Raw genomic sequence first — 18,647 nt, forward strand, 5'->3', positions numbered from 1 at the left:
AGCATACTGGATGGGCCACAAGTGCTTCAGGCAAAATATGGAGTCTGCAACAAATATCTAAGCAGCTCATGACCACATTTCATAATCTCTTCTCCACGATGGCTTAAGACAGAGGTTCTTAATCCCAGATCAAGAAATTAAGCAACAGAGACTGAACTTGGAGTTTCAGACTTAGAGAGCCATGAATGGGACACCAAGATCCTAGAACCTAGATGTTATTAGGAAGTTATGATAAGAAGAACCAAGTTCTCAGTAGCAAGAGAGAGAATGTTTTAAATAACAAAAACCTGTAGTCAATTAAGCAGAAAAAAAGCACTCAAGGCCTCATCAAAGCATTGATCCATTACAGCCAAGGATGAATTCTTGGGGAATACGAATGTAATACAAACCCTTCAAGATGTGAGGCAGCATGGTAGCCTTCTACCTCTAAAAAGGCAATCTGCAGAAAGGGTCTAGCATAGTGCTGATACCTAAGAAGCAGTTAATAAGTATCAATTTCCAATTGCTAATCCTTCAAAGTGGCTGTCTTAAAAATATATCGTCTAAAGGAGACCCCAGGAGCTGGGCACTCTGGCTCACGCCTGTAATCCCAGCACTTTGGGAGGCCGAGGCACGTGGATCACTTGAGGTCAGGAGTTCAAGACCATCCTTGCCAAATTGGTGAAACCCTGTCTCTACTAAAAGTACCAAAAATTAGGCGAGCATGGTGGTACATGCCTGTAGTCCCAGCTGCCTGGGAGGCTGAGGCATAAGAATTGCTTGAACCCAGGAGGCAGAGGTTGCAGTGAGCCAAGATCACCCCCACTGCACTCCATTCTGGGTGACTGAGTGAGACTCTGCCTCAAAAAAAAAAAAAAAAAGACACCAGAGGTCTATGTCAAATCTCACTTAGACCCACTCCATGTCCACCTCTTCATAAAAACATCCAAGACAGATGTAACACTCTCCCTACCTAACACTCTTCGAATCTTTAACATCCTCCTTGGTAGGCAATGGTTAAAGTTAGAGGAAAGTGAGCTTAAATTGAATCAAGGGCATCTACTGAGATCTACTCTACATTACCACGTAGGAGAACCCTTTCACCACACAAATCTAAGGCCTCAGATACCTACTGCACATTAGCCAAACCAATTCACAAATTAATTTTAGGAGGAATCAGCTTCCAAGTGTTCAAAGGAGAGGTACAGAGCAACTTCTTTCAGCAGCTGCTTTTCACTTATACCAGGCCTCAGACTGGCACAAATGTTTCTACTCATCCAAACAGACTCAAAGCAGAGTAAATGGTATGCACCTAGGAAAGAAAAATCATTCCTGAACGAAGAGGCAATGGAATGGTTAAGAAATCTAAAGAGAATGAATCAGACATAGTGATCCTAGTGCACACAGAAAGCATGCTTTAACAACCTAGTCCATGACCAATCTAAATCCAATCATCATCAGTCACTAGCTCAGTACCCCTTGGATCTGGGCCTCTTGCACTGGCTTGGCAGTTCCTGAGCTAAGATAACTTTCCCCTTGGCAACAAACTGAAAAGGCAGTGGATATCCACAGAGGGATGATCCTTCCAATAACCTCTGGTCATAAAACATGGAACAGAAAGCAGGAACTAGAGTGTACAGGGCCAGTTAAGACCAGAATGACCTCATTTGTACAAAAGGACATTTTTTTTTCTGTACCAGGAATTTCCCAGTCATTAAAAAGCACATATTTGTGAAAGGAGTTAAGCCTTTTAAAGATCTAGCTTTTTTCTTGTGTGAAGCAATTACTTCCACTCCCAGCAGGAGTTAAATTTATAGTTTCCACATACATTAAAAAGAAATGTTCTCTGAGCACATCCAACAAAGCTTCAGGTTGATAAAGCATTTATGCACTTCCTATTTCTTGCCAAAGTGGGCAGGCACATTCTAATAGCCTAAACCACAAGCATAGAGGCTGACTGCACAGCATCTCCTAACTTCAGCAATCCAAGACTGACTTCAACACAGCCCTGGCCCCTCCGAATATCTTATCACCATGGATTCATTCCAGTTTTCAGAGTGTGTCTGAAGGCCTCAACCCATGGCCTGATCAGTGAGAGACAAATTCACATAATCTCAGCCTCTCTGACCTGAGTAAAAAGCATGAAGTGAAGACCCACAAACGGGCCAAAGCCTTCCATCAGATGATTTCTGCCTCTGGGGTGGTAGGGTCCAGCTCTCAACAAACTTTTATTAAGTGTCCATGTATGCCAGTGATGCAAGTCAATGTAGATCAGTGGGAACAACAAGGGCTTTGAAAACATGCAGACTGTCTATCCTCTTCTTTAAGAATGCAGCTCCATAACTGGCTCCTACTTAAGAGAACCATCCAACATTCTACAGGCCAAGATCCCAGTCCTCTTATGTGCATCTGTCCTTTTCTGCAAGGAGTTTGGAAAGATGATTTAGAAAAGAGGTTTTAAAGTCAAACTGAATTCAAAAGCAAGTTCTATGACTCACTAGCTAGATGACCTTGGGCAATTTACTTAAGCTCTTCTGAAACAAGATTCCTTATGCGTACCTTATTTTTTTTTTAGTTAAATGATCTTTTTAATTTTTTTATTATTATACTTTAAGTTCTGGGATACAAGTACAGAATGTGCAGGTTTGTTACATATGTGTACCTTATTTTTATGGGAATGCACTGAAATAATTAGAGCAACATCTCTGACACACAGTCGGTGTGTAATAAATGAGAGATATGGCTATGCTAAGCTGAAAAACATGGTTCCTACCCTCAGGAGTCTCATAATCTAATGTAGGAACACAGACTTCAATTAGAAAACTCATCCCACAGGTGTAATGTTTCAAGATCTTCATCATCGAAAAAAAATCAATAAAGCTACCGATACTTCTCATTATGAGAAGTTGACACCAATTCCAGTGAACAGAGGAAAATTCAGAAAAATGGCAGCCAGATTTATAAATATTTCCAATGAAACATTAAGATCAGTTGAGAGAGACAGTGATACAAGCAGAATTCTCAATATTAAGGCTGAGGATAGTACTAAAGCCAGGCCTGCCAGTGAGTAGGAACGACACTGAAACATCATAGCTAAGGTCAAGACCCCAGGCATTTACTTTACAGCTAATAAGAAACAACCATGAACTTCCTTCCTTGTATACAAAGAATGTGCAACAGGATTGCTGAGTGGCCTACTAATTTTATAGCCCTATGCTGGAGGATCAAAGAGACGAGGGTGGGAAAGGAGAAAATCTACTGTTCCTACTATCATAAAAAGAAAGTCAAGAGGTCTGTAATTTTTCTCTCCTTCCCCCAAACTAAGACATAGATAGTGGCCTCCTAGTGTCCCAAATCAACACAAACTAGCAATGGAGAGGAAGCCAGCTGGAAAGAGGAAGCAGCCATCAGTGTCCTGCACACATATTTTCTGTGGTTCAAACAGTGGGTACCAAGAGAGGGTACCCAAAAGCCTCCATCATATGGCGGCAAAAAGCCATCTTCATCTCTAGTCTCACTAACAGCTTCACTATACTTGACCAACAGTGACTGAACCCCACAGACTAAATGTTATGCTCAAGAAAGGTCATGAGATCCGAACAGCCAACCACGAAATAGTCCCAACAGAGCCAGAGAAATGATCCCTGAAGAGTGGGAGGAAGCAGTCCCCAGCAGCTGGCCCTGCAGGCTCAGACAGTCCCGCTGAGGCTCCCACACAGTCCCTGCTCTGGATATCTGCACCAGATGGTGCGGGGATCAGGCAGGAGGCAGAGAGTAAAGATGTGTCTCTCTCTCTCTGTGTGTGTGTGTGTGCGCGCACGCGCAGCGTGAAACACAGTTGTCATCGCACAAAATACATGTATGTCTCAATTTTACAGAGATGAAGAAGCTGCAGCTCAGGGAGGTTAAGCAAGTGTCACAAGATTACACACCCAGTAAGTAAATAAATCACTCCAAAACAGAACTGACTTCAAAGTGTATCCTTTTGCACTAGATGCCTTTGAGGCTCCCTCTTACCTTTCACATTCTGAAAGTCTATATTCTTATTTGATACACACAGCACTTCATCATGCCAAAAAAAGCCACACACATAATTTAAAAACAATCAAACTTCTCATTTCTGCTTAGTGACATATACTCACAAGACACAAACTTAATAGAAACAATAGGTCTGCCTTTAAAGAAACATCCATAAAGAGCCATATTATTTTATTTTTTTGAGATGGACTCTTGCTCTGTCGCCCAAGCTGGAGTGCAATGGTGCAATCTCAGCTCACTGCAACCTCTGCCTCCCAGGATCAAGCAGTTCTAATACCTCAGCCTACTGAGGAGCTGGGATTACAGGTGCGTGCCACCATGCCCGGCTTTTTTTTTTTCTTTTTTTGTATTTCTAGTAGAGATGGGGATTTCACTATGTTGCCCAGGTCTCAAACTCCTGACCTTAAGTGATCCACCCACCTCAGCTTCTCAATGCGCTGGGATTACAGGCGTGAGCCACTGTGCCTGGCCATTATTTTGTTTATTTAAATATGACAAAATATATCTATCAAGGTCAGAAACTAAACAATGTAGGTATATATTTAATCACTACTGCTCTAAGCCAATGGTTTTAAATTCTGCCTCACATTAAAATCACTTGGGGATCTTTATAAAAAATACCAAGGTCTACGTGCCACCCCCAGATTTTCCAGTTGAATTGGTGCGGGGGGACCCAGTTGCTTCCAATGTGTCGTTACGGTTGAAACCTTTCACTTAAGATATAAATATGATGAAAAAGACAAAAACACTGTGAACTTTATCTGAATAAGTCGGCATTAATGAGAATAGGCTCTTAATTCAAGTATCAAGAGAAGTAAGCTTCTGAGATGGATACTCATAACCGCTTAATTCAAACAGAGTCCCTTTCATTAACTGTCACTAATGGCTTATAATCAAATATGAATTTGTTAGATAAGCAAAGAGCTATGCTGCTTGAAGCATAAATACGAGATTTTTTTCTTTAATCTCACAGTAACCCACTCCCATGCAAATAATTCAGCATTTAGTTTTGTGCTAACATGCACATAAAAATACAACAGCTAGAATGACTACCGTGTTTTACGCCAGGCACTGCTTTAAGCCCTCTATGTATATGAACTTCTTTGATTTTCACATCACCACATGAGGTAGGTGTTATTATTTTTCACAGTTTATGAAGGAGAATACTGAGACACAAACTTTAAGTTGCCCTGTGTCACACAGATAAAAAGGGACAAAGCCAGGATTGAAACCCAGGTAGGTAATATGGCTCCCAAATCTAAGCATGTAACCTTCAACCTTTACTGCACACAATATTTAATGTTTTTTATTTGGTTGAGCACTTTACAGTTTGTATTTTTAATATATATTATCCTAATTGATCCTTGCACCAATCAAGTGAAATAATCAGACTGGTGTTATTATCACTAAAAAAGAACAAAATTTAGAGAGATTAGGTAATCTGTTCACCCTCACGTGACGAAAAGTAAAGAAACCCTCTTGTACAAAAAGAATATGTCTTTTTTTTTTTTTTTTTTTTTTGATACCGAGTCTCGCTCTGTCCCCCAGGCTGGAGTGCAGTGGTGAGATCTCAGCTCACTGCAACCTCCACCTCCCGGGTTCAAGCGATTCTCCTGCCTCAGTCTCCCAAGTAGCTGGGACTACAGGCACCCGCCTCCATGCCCGGCTAATTTTTTTGTATTTTTAGTACAGACGGGGTTTCACCATGTTGGCCAGGATGGTCTCGATCTCCTGACCTCGTGATCTGCCCACCTCAGCCTCCCAAAGTGCTGGGATTACAGGCATGAGCCACCACGCCCGGCCAGAACATGTCATCTCTTAGGAAACTGTCTTCAATAAGTAAGTAGTTTTTTAATGTTACATAAAATTACAAAATCACGTGTATTCAAACAATTGATTTTTTTCTTGAGAACACACAACATTCTTTAAATCAAAGCCATATCAACAAGAAAACCTATAAGCAAAATCAGGAATTAAATTTTATTTTAAATAATTCCACTTCCCCTTTCTTAGCTTTCTGTCATCCTCTAGCTCACCTTTCCCCACCCTCTGAGCACCCGGCGTCTTTGTGTTCCTTTCTGTTAGGCCAGATCCTCACCACCATAATCTAAACTTTCCAAAAGCCATTCTTTGCATATTCCCTTTCTTTCCCTCATCAAAATTCCAAATCCCCTTACTACCTTGTTCTAAGATGATGCTCAAGAGGAATCCTAACTCCATTCCCTCAAAACCTCAAGCCTGAATCCTTGCTAAGGTAAATGATGGTGTGAATGAGCTTCTCTACAATATAGAAGATGGTTGGAATCTTTAAGAGTTTAATTTTAGTAAACAGGCTTGTCAGAGAAAGATAAATTGTGGGGACAAGGAACCCTTCTCATCATCCTCCAGGTCACAAAGTGGAGATCACCACCTTCTCCATAACATGAGAACACATTGTTTCTTAGGATACCCTATGTCAAATTCCACAACTTAATCAGAATTATAATCTTAGATATGCTTTCTTTGTAGGTAGGCCTGTAGACACCAATGGATCAAATTATATAACTGACTTTATCACTAAAACTAATCCAAATAATGTCATTTCAAACAACCAGTTTACTTCTGAAGGAGAGGTAATTGTGTAGTCATCAATCTTGCTAGATATCCAGACATAATGTTTACTTTCCCAGCCTCTGACTAAACTTACTACATATAAGCCAAAAAATAAAAAATAAAAAAAAGACTGCAAATTAAATATAGAACTTTGAGTCAGGACCTCTATATTACAAATCCAGCTGTGCTACTGACCTTTTTTTAAAAAAAATAAAATTAGCCAATATCTCTTCACCTGAAAGTCCTCGGGGGAAAAAAAAGCCTCAATTTTCCCATCCGAAAAACATATGTAAGAAGTATGTAGTTCTCAGGGTCATCTTCAAGTACAGCACTGCAAAGTTTAAGCACTCGTAAATACAGAGTTGGAACATACTGGCGGTTAAACAACCTTCTCTGGGTAATCATAACCACACTTTTTAGAAGGATAGCAGCTTTATAGGAAGGTAGGAATACCATTTCAAGTGACCTACAACACTAATTTGCTAAGCAAAACTAGAAGTTCAGATAATTAGTTACAAAATGCAAAAATCCTAGGGGTGCTAAAGGAAAAAATAAAAAGCTAGAGATGCACTAAAATTAGGGTTTTTCTATCCATACTGGTTTAACATCTGGGCCATTTTTTCCAGTCTTCATTTTATTCTCCTTGTGAACACAGGTATATATTTGCATGACCTCATTAGAGCTTGGGGTAAATGTTGACATTATGCTAATTGACCCATCTGGGGATTCAAACTAATAACCTTTGCCTTATTAGAAGTATGCTCTAATAGCAAACCACAGTGGTTATCATCACTATTATTGGTTATAATTGATTATACTTAACATATAATCAATATTGTAATTAAGTCTTCCTATACAAAATGCATGTTTGCTTTCCCAGTATTTTCCCCTTTGTTACATCACTTTAATGCCTTTCCAAAAATAGCCATTGAATTTCAATTTGATACAAAACCTAATACCATCAATACTAATTTGAGCTGAAAACATACACTCCCTGAAGTATGAGTTATTTAGTCTTTCTTCTGCCTTCAGGCAAGAACACACTTAAGTCATCCAAGGATGTCTGATGTTTTCAAAGAACTCCAGAGAGTAACACCACCACCTTCGGTTTGCATAACACATTATGGTTTTTACAAATCACTTTTTTTTCCATCCTATTAGATACTCACAACAATCTCACGAGTCTCAGATTTAATTATCCACATTTCACGAATGAAAAAACTGAGCATCAGAGAGGTTAAAGTGTTTTGCCTCAGCTACAGAACTGGAAAGGAACACCATCAAGACCAGGTCGTGGGTCTCCTGTGCTCTTTCTGTCACAAGCTGCATCCTCCATTGGTAATTTATTTCACTTTGGTGACCATTAGGAAATACTTACCATGTATCTAACTGAAATTCCTTATTTCCTTTTGTCTTTAATGGAATGAAAATGAGATTGTTGTTTTCCCAAAATTGTAAACAGTGTCACTATTACTTAAATAGGTCCAGTATGCTCATTAACTTCTTAATAGTGAGATTTTAGGAGATATTAATACTTGCTTCACTGGTCACCATCACGGCCAATTTGGTTCAGTGTGAATGAAAATACCGATGATAAGACAAGATGGCACTGCTCCTAGACATTTTCTCAGGAAAATGGATCATGGTATAGCAAAAGCCTTTTGGTAGACGTGGCTTCCATCTTAAAGCCCAAAACCAAACAAAACTTCACAGATGGCATAGGGCTGATTCAGTCTTCAAAGTGTAAAATGGGGAAGCTTTCTGGGTTATTCACTGTAATAGCAACCAGCTTTGTGCTGAGTGCAACACTGGACCCTACGTGTCACATGCATCAAGTAATTTGATGTTCAAAATAATCTTACAAGAGAGTCAGAAGTATTACCCCGGTTTTATGAATGTGAAAAAATGAAACCCAGAGAAGTTTAAAAAACTTGCCCAAAGTCACTTAGGTAGTAAGTGTCTGAGTCACAATCCAATCTAGGTCTGACTCCCTCCAAAATCTCCAACCCCTTAACCTGCCCTTCTAAGCTGAAATACATTGTTCTATCTTCACCAACAGCAGAAAAGATTATAGTTGAAAGGGATTAACTCCTGGCTAGCCTGTGTGATTTGGGATACAGGATTTATTTTTCTGAACCTCAATTTAATTTTCATAAAATGGGAAAATTCCTGAATAACCTTTTCTCAGGGCTGTTGAAAGATCAAAATGAAATAAAACTATAAAGTATTACACAAATATGTGTTATGTGATGATTAAACTCAATGTATAAATCTCTTGATTATGAAGTAGTCAAAAAATTGCTAAATTGAACTAAACTGACCATGTCTAACATCTAGGACTGTTGCCAGCCATGCCTTACAGCCCAAAGATGCCAATTAGTAAATGCTGCAAAGCTAATTAGTGACATTTCAGCTCATAGGTACCCTACTGGATAGGAATGGATCTCATGAGAAAATCATTTCTAGTCTTTCAGACACCTTTGTGGCTTCAATTTGAGTATTTCCAAAGAATTCTCTATTGTGCCCAGTACTTGGGAGTTTCAGTGGGGTATTTCCCAAGAAGAGTCTGAGAATAAAGAAGTAATATTTCTGCCTGACAGTTAAATTATAAAATTAACACATAAAACAAAGAGATATGCTGTCAACCCTAAATGCACTAACTCGAACAGTAATTTGTAAACCAGTGGCAGAGAATTTGCTCCAGTCGCATGCCTGGGTTTCACTCCAGGCAAAGTAGGCCATTGAGCAATAGAAGCAACATATCTAAAGGTGACCAACAAAGGGAGGATATGGAGGAAGTGGTAAAATTAGAGATGGCAACCCATAGGAAAAAGAAGGGGAGGGGAATTGTTTATGAAACATTATATCTAATACTGTTTAGGAGCATATGGGCCCTCTGTCACAGTGAGAAAGATTATCCCTAAAGTAAGAAAAATGATTCAACCATCTTAACTAAAAATGAGTCTTATGAATGCCCTTGAACATCAGTTCTCACTGGCAAGGCCTTCCCTACAGCTGGAAAGCTCTATAAACTGGATTAAAGAACTTAGCATGAAATTAATTTTGCTTTGACTCTAAATGGATTAAAGCAAACTTCTAATTATGACTTGGTTCCTCAGATAGTCTGATCAGGTAAGAAATGTGCTGAGCATTAAGATTTTGAGTAATAAGACACATTTCACAGTTACTTCTCCTTGTAAATAAGTAAATCATCATTTACATGTCAACCAAAGTGCCATGGGCATTTTGTTTAGCCAGTCAGTGGCTAAGAGACTGATTATTTCAGGACACTGACAAGAACACGTCCTTGGACTTTAAAAGTCTCAGATGCTGAGACATGTAGAAATCATCAACATACTACTCAGGGTGGGTCCTGCCTAGCTCCATTGCTTCCACTTCTCTTGAAAGAAAAAACTCAGTAAGGGTCTGAATATAATTGGATCTAGTGTTGACTATAATCTGATGATCCAAACGGATATAAAACGTGCTTACTAGGCAGATGTTTGGCAGATAATGACTGCCACATCATCAGTGTCTATGATGCACTAGATTCCTAAGTTAGAGATACAGAATAATCACTTTTTCTGGAAAAAAAATTCATGCAGGCAGAAGATTAATACTGCATAACATAAAAAGTCTTTTTTAGTTTAACTCTAAACTATCTGAGCACATTTTTTAAACTAGCTATCACTCTATTACATATTATATTATTTCCTCATTCCTTCTAATAAATTATTTATGCCAAGATACATGGATGTATGGGTATGCATAGTTTATATACAATATAGGTAGAGAAATATATACCCTTATGCATGTAACTATTTATCTGATAATCAAGACTTCCTTCATATTCAGAAATCAAATGTCAGGTAATGTCATTCTTCTTCCCGCACTCTATAGCATAAACTAAGCTGTTGGCAGTATCAGTGGCTTTTGTCACTTTGCTCCTAGCTGCCTCACCCACAGAAGCCCAGAGCATACAAACATGACAGCGGACAGGCAAACTAGGTCAGCCTAGAGGCAGAATCCTGAGGAAGAAAGAGCCCTTTATCATTTCTAACACAGGCCTATGTTGTGTAAACTCATCACACAGTCTGGAACTAAACAACTGGTAAGAGGTACAAGGCCCACAAAAATCGCTACCACCACTCCTTAACAAGTCAACAAAGTAGGAGCCATAGGGGAAGCAAGATAGGGAACCCCCCCCCCCCACCCGAGCAAGACTATATATTAAGGTTAGACCTCTTCGTGGCTATGCTGAGAAATAATAGCATGGTAGAAAGAGCTTAGGGTTTGCAATAGGAGAACCGGGCACTAAAATGTCGGTGGTTACCAACTTTGGGCCTTGGTTCCTTCACCCTTACATTGGGCCTATCAAGAATCCATGTCCTGCCTACCTCATATACTTCCTGGGTGAATCTAAGTGGGATAATGTATGTGAAAAACATGTTTTAGAAACGCTAAAGAGATGTCACTTATTGCTACTGTCTTTTCTGTAGGGAAAGTATGTATCCGCACATCAATCTCTCACAGTCCTGAGGTGGGGAAAACTGAAAAGAAAAAAATAAAGTGATGTCACTAATGCCTTGTATCTTTAGGTGTTAAAAAAAACAGTATAGTTGGGCAAAGTCCTGGCTTTTCAAAATTCTCTTCAAATCTGCTTACTCTAAAAACTAATCAAAATAAGCTGTTTATCACAAAATGGCCATCATGATGTGAATTGTTGTGGGGGACATTTTCGAAGACCTCCAGCAAAAGACATCAAAACTTGCTCACTTGAGAACCAAACTGTAAACTATGTAGTATTTCTGGCCATCTGTTTGTCTCATTACCTAATGGAAAATTAGTAACTTGGAAAAGGAGAGAGAGAGGGTGAAAGGATGTGAATAAGAAAGGGATATTGGGAACAGCTGCTTACAGAGGAGAGGAAATGTTTCTGACATGGCATCATGTTTTTTCAAATTCTTCCTAGATATTACATCAGTTTAAATATCTTGCTCTACCATTCAGCTTTACAAATATCTGTCAAACGTTGTCCTGCACAAGTTATATAAGTAAGCATGTGCATATATTCACACCGGAATTTTAATGTTATGATGCTTGAAAAGAAGGTACTGATTGGATATCACTTACTATTTTCCAGCTTCTAAAAACATTTTAACTTCCTTGCATGCATAACGACTCTTAACTGGAATTTCCAAGGCAAACCCAGTATGGGGCATGCATTATTACCACAACACATATTAATCCATAAATTATTCCTATAAATAGCAAAATCTCTGGAATCTCTAAGCATTATAAAACATAAGGACAACATCAGCCCCATTTGGTCCTGAACCTTATTTAAAATGAGCCCTAAAGTAGCAGTAATAGTTCATTAAAAAAAAAACAGTTTATAATCCAAAATTTAAAAGTATAATGCCACATCATCAAAAATGCTATATATTATTATTTTGTTTTTACTTCCCAATGTATCCATGTTATCACTACAGACCAAGAACGTTAAATAATTTACCGTCGCAAAGGAGATCTCCAGATGGCTGACTGAGAGATCCCAGAAGCATCACTGCTATATAGTCATCACTACGTGGCAGAGTCTTGTGGGGCCAGACACTAGATTTGATTTTAGGAGCACCAGGAGAGCTATCTCCATCCCACCCACAACCCCATGTTCCTCCAAAAAGGTTACTTTCCACTCCTATGCAGGTCCTTACAATCAAGAGAGGTTCTTTTGAATTAATAATTTTACATTAGGTATTTAAAATGTACATAGTACAATTTATCTGGGAGAGTCTTACAGCAGATTTTTGTGGCATGAGGTTCTGATACAGGAATAAAGACAGAGAGAGAGAATAAGGATTACTAAAAGTAAATGCCCCCACTTAACATTTTCGTAACCTTAATCCATAATATATCAGAGGTTGAACTAGTATAAAATACCAAGGCAGAAACTGATAGGCTTGACTTTAATATGCCCATGATTCATTTCTATTAGTCACTCTGGAAGAGCAAAACCATAATAAACTTTGTTATTTTAGGTTTTTAAGATGTTTTCTTGATGTTATGTAACATCTTTACATGGTTTATAAGATTTGTGGATTTATAATCACACAAAGTAGCTGAATACCTTATCTAATGGCCAAAATGTGTTGGTTTGATCTTATTTGTAGATCCTTATTAGCGGATTCATATTTTATAGTTATACAATTGGTAATATTTCGTTGACTCATACTTGAAAGTGACTTACTAGTATATATTCTTTGAAAAAGTATGTTTCTTGGGGTAACTTGTAGTACAATACTTTTTCCAATTACATGTCCAATGGAATTGTTAATTTCTATCACTATAGTTGCCATTAGCACCATTAAGGTGATATATTCCACCTGTATAATCAAAACAATTGGATATTTGTGTTCACTAGGTGTTTGAGACCTAGATTATCTAGATTTTTCTAAACAGTCAAGAAAGCTAGATTGATGGTAGAAAATTACATTTACAACTTAATTTAATATTTTATTCCTTCCATTTTTCCCTCACCCGCAACCCAAGAATGCAGCTGAATAAGGAGATAAAGTGCCTAAGTCCTTAGAAAATCAGTAGGCAGCAGCCTCCTCCACCACAATTCATATAGTTAGCCACCTGCAATAAGCTGCTGGAGAATCCCATCCATTCTCCTTCAGCAGGAAAGTTAGGTTTATAAATTGCAGGTATACTTTTGGAGAAAAAAATTTAATTCAGAACAAAGGGGAAGATTGGTTTTCTTTGAAATGTGTTTACAATGGCAATAAGTTAACACAGAAAAAGAGAGAAAGACTTTATAGCTTGCAAACACTGTCAGGTCCACAAAGCATTTACTGATCTTTATGTCAGGTGGAAACAATAAATCTCTCTTCTCCAACTTCCACACTAGAAACTCCCTCATATCTGTCTGAAGCTTCAAATGGAATTACAATAGTCTGTATCTAAGGTTTACTCTTTCCCTCCATCTCTGTTCCATTACAACCCAATCATCTCATCATTATCACTCCCTACAACAATGCCTTTGGAGGCATATTCTTTTGTTAAGGAAGTAAAAGACATTTTCATTAGTTGTGGCAAATTTTAAAAAGATACAATAAGGGTAATTATACCTACTCCAGATTTCTATTATGTGATACTTTTAAATTCAGAATCTAATGACAGGGTCATCTCTCTCCCTCTCTCCTGCCCTATGAAATCAATAGTAGATTGGTAGATAAATACATAGATATAAATAGATAAATACAGATCCTTCAAATATCCTATTAAAATAAATTTGGGTTTACATGTGTAAATACTATGATAAAAACACAATTTGTAAGACTCTCTCTATCCTTTCCTTTTTAGAAAATAACAAACTCCTTAAGCCAAAAAGCAAATAATTGGTAAGACAACATTTAAAATCAAGACATGATTCATACACAAATTAAACCAATCACACAAGGGAAAGAAATGAAATTGGAAGAAGGCAAACAGACTCAGAGTGACCATGCACTGAGAGAATTTGGTCAATACTCATTACAAGATATTTATTTCCTTTTGTTAAGGTCTACATAAACCTACTGAATTAAGATAATAAGCTTCTAACTAGTACAATGACAGGTTTTTCTTAAATTTGCTGAAGGGGTAATATGAATTTTTCTTCCACAAGTTCTGGATTTCTCTTGGGAAGACTTTATACAAGAAAGAAGTTGGAAGAAAGATAAAATCTTTCTGAAATTTCATTCCTGAAATGTTTGAAACAGAATCACAAGAAAATAGGTAGCAGAGCAGTAGGTGGGGATATAGAATTATAAGTATTTTCCCCAAATAACTGAGACATCTCAAATCCCTGGCACAGAAACAACAAATATCTGCTTAATAAAATACTATTGAATTTCTTTAAAATATAATTAGATCATGTAGACAGAACTTATTTTTTCTTCCTAGTATATAATGTAAGTTGACTGGTGTAGAAGATCAAGCATTCAAGGAAAATACATTTTTTTTAATTGGGCTAATGACTGGAACCATTTTTTGCTCCACAGATTTAGGGTTCTGGCTCATGACACAGTAAAATTAAGCATGCATAGGGGGCATACAGTAAATATATGAAATAATAAAAATTAAAATAACAGGACATAATAATTATTTACATTTGCATATTCTCTGTTTTTCTACTTTGTTTTTGCTGTTGTTGATTTTATTTTTCTTAAGTGGATTTGTATTCCCTTTTTTGGTTCTTACAACATTTGTGTGGTATACTTAAAAAAAAAATCTTTACATTCACTCTAAATTTACTCATTTAAAAAATATTTATTGCCCAGGCACAGTGACTCTCGCCTGTAATCCCAGAACTTTGGGAGGCAAAGGCAGGCGGATCACCTGAGGTCAGGAGTTCAAGACCAGCCTGGCCAACATGGCAAAACCCCATCTCTACCAAAAATACAAAAATTAGCCGGGCATGGTGGCGGACACCTGTAATCCCAGCTACTCGGGAGGCTGAGGCAGGAGAATCGCTTGAACCTGGGAGGCAGAGGTTGCAATGAGCTGAGATCGCAACACTACACAGCAGCCTGGGCGACAGAGTGAGACTCTGTCTCAAAAAAAAAAAAAAATTGTTGCCCAACCACAATGTGCCAGGCATATTGTAGTCATAAAATTTTGCAGTACATAAAATAGATATAAATCCTTGCTTGATGAAATTGATTAAAATTCACCCAGAAAAGGAAAGAGAGCCAAGAAGCTACATTTGATGACATATGTCCTATTTGGCCTTATTTCACCTTCCACACTACCTTTCAACAGTATAAAATATATTTAATATACCGACAAAATAGAGTCCTATTCACTTGGCTCCTAATACCTCGAGAGTTCCCTCCATTAGTGACCTTTCTACCAGTATCAAAAAAGTGTCAAAAAGAGCTCTAACACTGAACAAAGTCATATCAGACATGGAGAGAATAAGAACAGGTGTGTGTGTGTGTGTGTGTGTGTGTCCATACACAACTCGCATAAATATATAAACTTTTATAACTACATATATATATAAAACACTTTTATAAGTAAAACAAAACAAGCTAATACAAACACAAATAAAAAAACAGTTCCCTCCATATGGTGTTCAATTTATAAATGCTTATTTTTAGGAGGATAGGAGAAAACCCGAAGTCTAAAGCTATTGATAAGACAATCCAAAAGTTATGTAAGCAGTGGATTATACAAATGAAATAATGTACTCTCCATGACTTGAGTAAAATTACTGAAGGATGAATTAGTGACATTTCATACCTGATTTGACATCCCATAGTCAGTGCAGCTGCCATCATTAATATATATCTAGAGAACTGCAAATTGCATGGCAATTTAAATGTGATAATTGCTAGATATACAAAATTACTGGCCAATGACTAAGTTAAAATGACAAAATCTAGACAAGAATGTAATAATAAATTAGGTATGAATAAAACCAAAATATGACAGTAGCCTTTGCACTGTACTCCTACTCTGCCATATTCCTACATTCCCCTTGAGTATAAAGAAAGAAGTGTCCTCATTCTTAGGAAATAGGTTAGAGAATGCCTCTAAAGAGACCCTATCCTTGATCAAGTCTTATCTCATCCATCTCCAGTTTTTTTTTACTTATCTTTTACCTTCAAACATGAATTTCCAACTCTAATAAACTTAGATTTGGCCTCACAGGTGCTGCTGTCTCTATTTTTATCAAATGTCTTGAGTCAGAGATGTATGCCGACAATATCCTTTGTTTACTCACCATATATTCCCTTTTTAAACTTTGTTATATAGGTCTTTATCTCAGTTGCAGGATTGGCATCGCTTTTCTAAGGCCACTAGCAACCTCAATCATACTGGATTTGAAAAGACCATCCTTAAATTTCATTATTTTGCAAATATCAACCACTGGGTCCTTGCTCCCAGCTGCTCCCAGTCACCTCCCATCCTACAAACACACAAAAAAATCCTGTCACCTATATTCTTTTTATTCTTTCTGTATATTTCCCCCTAATTCTCCGTTGTTCTTATTTTTTTCTCTCTCAGAGTGTTTGTCAATTTTCAAGATACTAGCTATCACCTCTAAAGTAACTATCTTCAATCACAAGCTCTTAGCCAGATTCCAATCCCATATCTTCAATCCTCTATTTATTAAATCAACTGGCAGGCACTTAACTGAGCTTGGTCATTCAGTAAACAAACCCTTAAAGATCTCACAGTCCAGAGCTAATCATTTTTACTAAATTCAAAATATCCAAATCCAAAGCTATCATTATATTTCTCCCAAATGCCACCTTCCCATTACTGAATCTTGCACTTTTGTTAATGCCATGACAATTCTCAAACTCACCATCACGAGTTGGGTTCTCCAGGAAGCAGACTCTAAGAAGGAGATTAGCATGCAGGAAACTTATTAGGGAGTGTTCTTGGGATCAACAACCATGAAAGGGTAGAGAAGAAAGCAGAATTGGGCACAAGGAGAAGTTGGACTATGATGAAGACTCAATGGAAGTCTCAGCTGACCCTACATAGAGCTCTGATCTCAGAGTTGCCTAAATTAGAGCAAGAAGGCCTAGCTTTCTTATCACATGGTGATTAATCATGGGAATGGGGCATGACTTTGAGCAAGGCCCCTCTCCTCAGGCCAGGCAATATATAGAGAGGACTAATGATTGAGGGCTGACTGTCAACAGAACCCCTAGCATCTAGAGGAATGAGTCCTTCATTACTAAAGGGGCATCTAGGCAGTGAATCATGACGTCCACCACATTCACCAAAGCTTGAAATATATAAAATACTGAAAGGCATATGAGGTTTGGAGTTAAACAGAACAAGATTCCAACCTTATTTCCGTCAGTAATTAACTGTCATCATAGGCAAGTTACTCAACTTCTCTGAATCGAAATTTTCCTATGAGATTTTGAAAATTTAGTGATACATATTATAAAAGCATTTGATCAATTCTGGCTCCATAGCAGTTGCTTAATACATGTTAATTCTCCTTCTCCCCTCCCCCATGAGTTATTTTTAAATATTCTCTTTCTTTTCCAAGCCCTAAGGCTTCCTCTGAAGTGACACTATACATCAATAAAGTTATATAAAGACCCTACCTCTAGCTAGGACTATTCTAGGTGCTGCAAAGCCCACAGAGAGCAACGCTGACAAGGTTCCTCCTTTGTGTAACTTAAATTATAAGAGGGAAGACAGGTAATAAATAGGTAAACTAGTAAATAAGATAATTTATGATAGTGAAGCTATGATGAAAAGAATAAACAAACAGTGATGTGAAACAGAATGGTTGGTGTAGGAGGACTACTGTCTGATGAGGTGACACTGAGCTGAAAGCTGAAAACTAAGGAAGAGCCAATCTTGGGAGAACCAAGCAAAGGATGTGGGTAGAGGACATTTCTGACATGAGGAACCGAACAATAGTCCTAAGGCAAAATGATGCTTGCTTAGCATATTCAAGGAGTGCATCATAGAACCATGAGTATATAGAGTACAAGATGAGGTTAGAGACATAGGTTCTTGATGTTCTCTGTTAAAGTCCTATGACCATGGTAAGGCATCACCCCTGCATTAATATTGTGAGTATTTAATGGAATAAAATTCATGGAACACTAAGCACACTGCCCGATAATGGTAAGCACTCAACAAATAAATATTATTATCATCATTACTATAGCTTCAACTGATCTTTTTAGATACACACTGTACTTTGACCCTATGTCCCACACATCACACAAAACTAGAAAAGGTCAGCATAGAATAAGGGGCAGAGACAGACAGAGGGGCAGACAATAGCTGCTGTGGACATAATTTGGTAATTTTTTAAATGTGATTTTACATTTTTTAAATTTTTTTGGAGACAACTTCTCACTGTCACCCAAGCTGCCATTCAGTAGTGTGATCATAGCTCATTGCAGCCTTGACCACATGGGCTCAAGTGATCCTCTCACCCAGCCTCCTGAATATCCAGGACCACAGGTGCATGCCACTGTGCCCAGCTAATTCTTCAGTATTTTTGT

At 37.9% G+C, this 18,647-nt stretch overlaps 1 protein-coding gene across 2 annotated transcripts in view; it reads right to left on the bottom strand.

The window, feature by feature from the left end:
- Positions 1-18,647, bottom strand: part of GUCY1A2 (guanylate cyclase 1 soluble subunit alpha 2) — a 344,458-nt gene that overhangs the window by 312,791 nt on the left and 13,020 nt on the right. The window lies entirely within an intron of this gene.

This window comes from Homo sapiens, chromosome 11 (genome assembly GCF_000001405.40).
Source record: "Homo sapiens chromosome 11, GRCh38.p14 Primary Assembly".
NCBI lineage: Eukaryota > Metazoa > Chordata > Mammalia > Primates > Hominidae > Homo > Homo sapiens.